The 6,000-nt window shown below is 44.0% G+C and overlaps 1 long non-coding RNA gene across 1 annotated transcript in view; it reads left to right on the top strand.

Moving 5' to 3' along the window:
* The first annotated feature begins 2,391 nt into the window (after positions 1-2,391).
* The window catches only part of LOC107986081 (uncharacterized), a 68,253-nt gene continuing 64,644 nt past the window's right edge, over positions 2,392-6,000 (top strand). Inside the window, exon 1 of the long non-coding RNA XR_001740673.1 lies at positions 2,392-2,464. This is a non-coding gene — a long non-coding RNA (uncharacterized LOC107986081). The remainder of the gene's footprint in view (positions 2,465-6,000) is intronic.

Genomic DNA, 6,000 nt, shown 5'->3' with positions numbered 1-6,000 from the left:
AGTTTGAGGTTGCAGTGAGCCGTGATTGCACCATTGTACTCCAGCCTGGGCGATGGAGTGAGACCCTTTCTCAAAAAGAAAAAAAAAGGAAGAAAATTCAGGGCTGAGGTTTGTGCTGGGGCTGATTTAGTCACTGTGCAGCTCATGTGGCTGTGAAAGCAGACAGATATTTGTGGCATCCTAGAGCTGCTGAAGAAGGAACCAAATAGCTCTCTAGCCTATTCTGCCAGGGCACCTCCTACCTCTTTGAAGGTCATAGACCTAAATCCAGCTGCCCCTGGAAGTAATTTTCAATTCTTGTGTCAATCTCATTTAATAAAAATAATGGAGATATTTATTGACTCCAGAGGCTTTCTTCTTCTTTGGTTTTTCTAGGGTATCTGTATTAGTCCATTCTCACACTGCTAGAAAGAAGTACCTGAGACTGGGTAATTTATGGAAGAAAAGTGGTTTAACTCATGCACAGTTCTGCAGGCTGTACAGGAGGCAAGGCTGGGAACGCCTCAGGAAACTTGCAGTCACGGCTGAGGGGTGAAGGGGAAGCAAGCACATCTTCACATGGTGGCAAGAGACAGAGAGAGTGAAGGGGGAAGAGCTACACACTTTTAAACAACCAGATATGTGAGAACTCACTCACTATCATGAGAATAGCAAGGAGGAAATCTACCCCCATGAGCCAATCACCTCCCACCAGGTCCCTCCCCGAACATTGGGAATTACAATTTGGCATGAGATTTGGGTGGGAACACAGAGCCAAAAAGTATCAGTATCTTTCATGGAGCAGGGTCATGTCTCCAAGAAGTGCCTGTCTCTCTTCAACTCATCAAAAGTCTGGTGCTGCTTCTGGGGCCACCACTGACTAATAGCTGGAGTAAGTCACTTGAAATTTTTTCCATTGGTAAAACAGCTGAAAGCAGAAATATATCCCACTTCACTGGCAAATAACTGTAAGAGGTTACTCAGGGCCATACAAGGTCAGTCTTTCCTCTCATTCGCTTTTAGGCTGTGTCTATATCATGGTGAAGGAGAAACACAAAGGTTATATTTTTTCTCCTATTCACTGCATCACCCCATACTACACTGTGTATGGACAGAGCTCCAGAATGGGAAGTCTGGCTCCGCCACTGACAAGCTGCATGCCTGGAAGAAGTCTTGAAACTCTTTCAAATCTGTTTCCTCATCAGTAAAAGAGGAATAATAGTACCATGGTAGACACTGCTCCCCCTCTACATCCATTCTTCCTCCTTTCTTACCCACAAGACCCCGACCTTGTTTGGAAAGGCAGTGGTTCCAGTTAAGATGCTCCACTCCCCAGCCTCCTTTGTTGCCAGCGGTGATCGCATGATCAGCCCCTGCCAATGGGATATGACCACAAGCTTGCTGGTGTGGCTTCTTATAAATAGAGACAGACCCAACTGGCGCAGGCCTTTTACTCTCTGCCCTTCTCTTTCTTCTCGCCTGGAACACAAATGCTGTTTTGGGGGAGGGCATTCATCTTTCAACAAGGAGGTTGGGAACCACCTGCTCAGGGATGGTGGTTTACAGTCTTGGGTTCCTGATGATTCCTAAGCAGCTGTACCAGCCCTGGGCTGCTACATGTCTAGAATTTTTCATCACATGAGGAAAAGAAAACCCTTATTTTGGTAAAATCACTCTACCTGGGTTTCTTTCAGTGGAGGGTGCAACTGAAACAAAGCGGCTATGAGGACGAAATAAGACAAGGATAGAAATTGCCCATTTCACGGTCAAGGTGACTACCCGCAGGGAGATGCTCTAGTTTGCAACCTCTGAGAGGTTGGCGGATAAATGGCACAGATTTTACTGGAACCCAAAGGGCAAATCATTTCCAGCTCAGAGTGAAATCTGCATCCAGAAATCCTGCGCTCTTGCGTTCTGACCCTATCAGCCTCTGCCTTCCTCTCTTTGCTTTCTACTGGTGGCTTTGGCCCTGTGTGAAATAACATGAAGGTTCTGCAAAAAGAATAAGGCTCAATCAAATGGAGAATTTGAAAAGAGTGTTAATCAGGTTGGAGTTGGTTTGGGGGTCACAGAAAGCTAAGTTAAAGAGTGGGCCACCAGGGCAACTGCTTAGATGTCCAGAGAGGAAGGAACACTTAAACATATCTCAGAAAACGTGCTGCCCCTTAACCCAGGTTTCCAAACATGACATCTGGTGTGACTGGTAAAATGTAAATTGGGCTTACTTTGGGGCGGGAGTTGGGGAGTTGGGGAGGAAGATTGTTCTCAAGCCGAAATAAAGTACCCTCCCTCCCTCAACTCTATTGAGGTTTGTTACAATTGACAAAAAGTAGTTGGCCCCATTCCTGCCAAGGAAGGCAGGAGCTTGAGAAGAAATATACTGCCAAGACTGGCTGCACTCTGTTGTGCGTTTTTGTCATTTACTTGTGAGAGGTGGAATGTTAGCGGCAGGACCACCGACTACAAGTCTAGCCAGCTGCTCTGGGTGAGTTTAGCAGCTATTGTTGCTGAAATTTTGAAACAGAAAAATGTATAGTGGCAGGAATGGTTTATTATCTAAATATTTAAATCAAGCCTAATGCTGCCCAATTTTTCTGGTCCAGAAAATTGCATATAACCAATGTGAATAGTTACTTTAATTTTAAACATAGAAAAATATGTGTTTATTAATAGAAAATTAGTTTATCACAGCCTCTACAAACTGAATGTTGAATAGATATTTTTTTAAAATGTTATTTGAAGGAGTGCCAAAATAGTAGCTTAAGTGCCTCATGAGAACTTAGTGGGGAGAATTAATGATAACAGCTGATGGGGAACCAGGCTTTGGAGCTCCGCACTATCATATACACTTTACATAGGTTAACTAATTTAAATCTCAAAACAATTTATGAGCTACAATTATTTTTCATATTTTACAGATGAGTTACACAGCTAATAATAAAACTTGTTTTTTTCATATTTAAATATAATCCTTAATGGGAAGTCCACAGGAGGAAACCTAAAAATGCCTGTGGCCCAGTTAACAAATGTTTTCACTGTCTCCATTTTATTTTTATTTATTTTTGTCCCTTTAATCTAGAGTATATTTCTTCTGCTTTAATACAGCTCACAAGCAGCATTGGGGAGAGAAAATAACTCTTTGGTCAGGGAGAAAATGAGGTAGAAAGCAGGAGCAACTTTTCTTGGCTCTTAGGAGATTAATCGTCATGGATATTTAATATAGGATTAATAAGTGTTTTAACCAAGCCATTTAAAAATGTGCCAAACCAGCAAGGAAGAGGGAAAATGAATTCATGATCTGAAATTTGGGGAATAAAGCTTTTTCTCATTAGCAAATGCTTTCTTTTTGTAATGTGAATAAATCTAATGAAGGTCAATTATACGTTTTATTAAATTTTACAAAACCAGCATTATGGATACCCCTCTGCTCCACAGTCCCTCGCTTCGCCTCCTGAATTTGTATTCAAATTGCTTAGGATTTGGATTTCTTCTGTTGGAATACGGGTACAATTTATTCCACATCTGTGTTTGCCACTAACCTTTTACTTTGGAGGTCTCTTGGATATGATTATCTGAAAAATTGTGACACAAACCAAATCCCAATGGTAGGTAATATGGTTTTGAGGAACAAGGCCCCGGAGTCATCTGTGAGTAGGGAGCAAGATGAAAGTAAGGTGGCAAGAGGAAGAGTGGGGGAGGTTGAGTATTCCTGGCAGCCTCCACTTCCCTTTTTCCTTTCAGCTAACAGACTCTGAGCATGGGCCGTGTGCTGAAGGCAAGTGACCCAGGCCTTGCCCTTCAGAAATTCACACTCATTTAAAGGGAGGCTCAGTTCCTTCCATCAGGGAGGGTTAGGTAGTGATTGTGTGGCTTGACTAATCCATGCAAAGCCTCTCCCAGGTAGGTAAATTGGAGAATTCATTAAAGGTCATCAGCAGTGATGTGACAACCACATAGTTTTGCCTTTGTCTTCTGGATGATCTGGATAATTCCCAATGTTGCTTTCCTCTAGTAAGGGGTACCTGACTTTGTAAAACCCAAGGCCTACTTTACCAGAAGCTTCCACTACCACAAACTTGGCTGTGGGAAATTCTGAGTCTAACTTTTGCCACGTTAGGTCCTCAGAGTCTGTGAACATTTCTTCCCTTGAATACTGTTAGCTTAATTTCCATTTAGAAGAGAGGAAAGAGATTGAAAATCCCACTCCGCTTGCCTCCATGCCAAACGACCATGACTGAAGATGCCACTAGATATTTTGAACAATTATTCACCTTTGTTGCCTTACTAAGCGACTCTCTCTTTCCCCATATGTAATCTGGAGCATCTGTGGATTCACAGACCCCCAAACTTTATATTTACCATGGAGGGGCCACTGGCTCACATTCAAGAGACTAAGTACCTTGAATGCAGTTCAGTTATTGGGAAGGTCCTTCAATATCATCTTGGTCCAGTCCATTTTTCCACTACCTTTTCTGGGATTATTTTGATTATTATAATGTTTCCTTGTCTTTTGTTCTTAGGCAAATAAAAGAAAATTCCTGTGTCCCCTATTAGATTTTTCTTTTCTCTCTCTTTCTTTTCTTTTCTTTCTTTTTTTTTTTTTTTTTTTGAGATGGAGTCTTGCTCTGTCACCCAGGCTGGAAGGCTGGAGTGCAGTGGTGCCATCTCAGCTCACTACAGCCTCTGCTTTCCAGGTTCAAGAAATTCTCCCACCTCCGCCTCCCAAGTAGCTGGGCCTACAGGCATGCACCAACACCCCCAGTTAATGTTTTTGTATTTTTAGTAGAGACAGGGTTTCACCATGTTGGCCAGGCTGGACTTGAACTCCAGACCTCAAGTGATTCTCCCTCCTTGGCCTCCCAATGTGCTGGGATTACAGGTGTGAGCCACCATACCCGGCCATTGGAATTTCTAATCAGCTGTCTTTTCTGGTCTTTCACGTATTAGGAGAGTTCCTTTAAATGAATTGCTAAATAGGTTGAAGCAAGGTAATTTGGGTAATTATAAAATCCCCCAACAACAAAACACCGAGCATCGTACACATGTAAAAGCCTAGGTGACCCCGTACACGTTCATAGATGATGCCCTTGGGCCTTCCTCCATGGCTAAGCCTCAGCTCAGCATAATTTTCCTCCTGGAGCCACTCTGCATCCCCTGGCGATTCCCTTGGCAATAAGGGGAGAAGCGTTTTTGCTTCCTCTGATTATGGGCCTCAGCTCCTGTCAGTGAGTGACTTGGGAAAAACAGAACTGGAAGCAGGCCCTCCTTGGTGACTAGGCCTTTTCCTGGCTGCACTGGGAAAGTGGGAGTGGAATGCTGATGCTTTCTGGACTCTTCCTGATGTCACTACAGGGGTCAGACCAGCAGGACTGAAGGCAGCTGTCAGGCTCACAAAAGGCACAGGATTTTGTTCGCTGGCATATGTCTGTTCTCATCATGACTGTTCTTGAAATCATAATTTTCCCCTTTTCCTTCCCATTAACATCATTTCACCTGGGCACATTGAGGTGCTAAAAAATAATGACAGTGTATAATTATTACTATTTAGCTTCAATAGGGTTAGATCTAGATTTGTTTAGTGGTTTTGGAATCAGCTCTGATTCAAGCTGTATCATTTGCCTCTTGGCTACTGCCCTACACCCTCCCAGCCCTGAGTGCAGACACAGGTATGGTGGACAGTCCTGGGTGAGCCTTGAGTCCTCACGCCACTTGGTGCTCCTGGCCTCTCTCTGCCAGCCACATGTTCTCTGCTTCCTTCTCCAGGGCTTCCCCTAGCTCAAGGGTAGGTATGTGGCCCCCACACCTGTGGCTGGTGTGGTTCTCTGGGAAGCAGAGTAGCATGCAGGGTGCTTATTAGGAAGTGCTCTGGGTGTCAACCCTGAGGAAGGCGGTTATGGAGGCAGGTGTGGGCAGAGGAAGAAATTGAGCTGTGATGCAGTCCCATAAAGGCCTGTGCTGACCCCTTAGGAGCTCTGGAGCTGGGAAGGCCCTGCAGTTGCCCAACTTAGAGTGACAGGCTAG

This window comes from Homo sapiens, chromosome 3 (assembly GCF_000001405.40).
Source record: "Homo sapiens chromosome 3, GRCh38.p14 Primary Assembly".
Classification (NCBI taxonomy): Eukaryota; Metazoa; Chordata; class Mammalia; order Primates; family Hominidae; genus Homo; species Homo sapiens.
The sequence above is the reverse complement of the archived record's forward strand: the minus strand, read 5'-3'. Positions and strand labels throughout refer to the sequence as shown.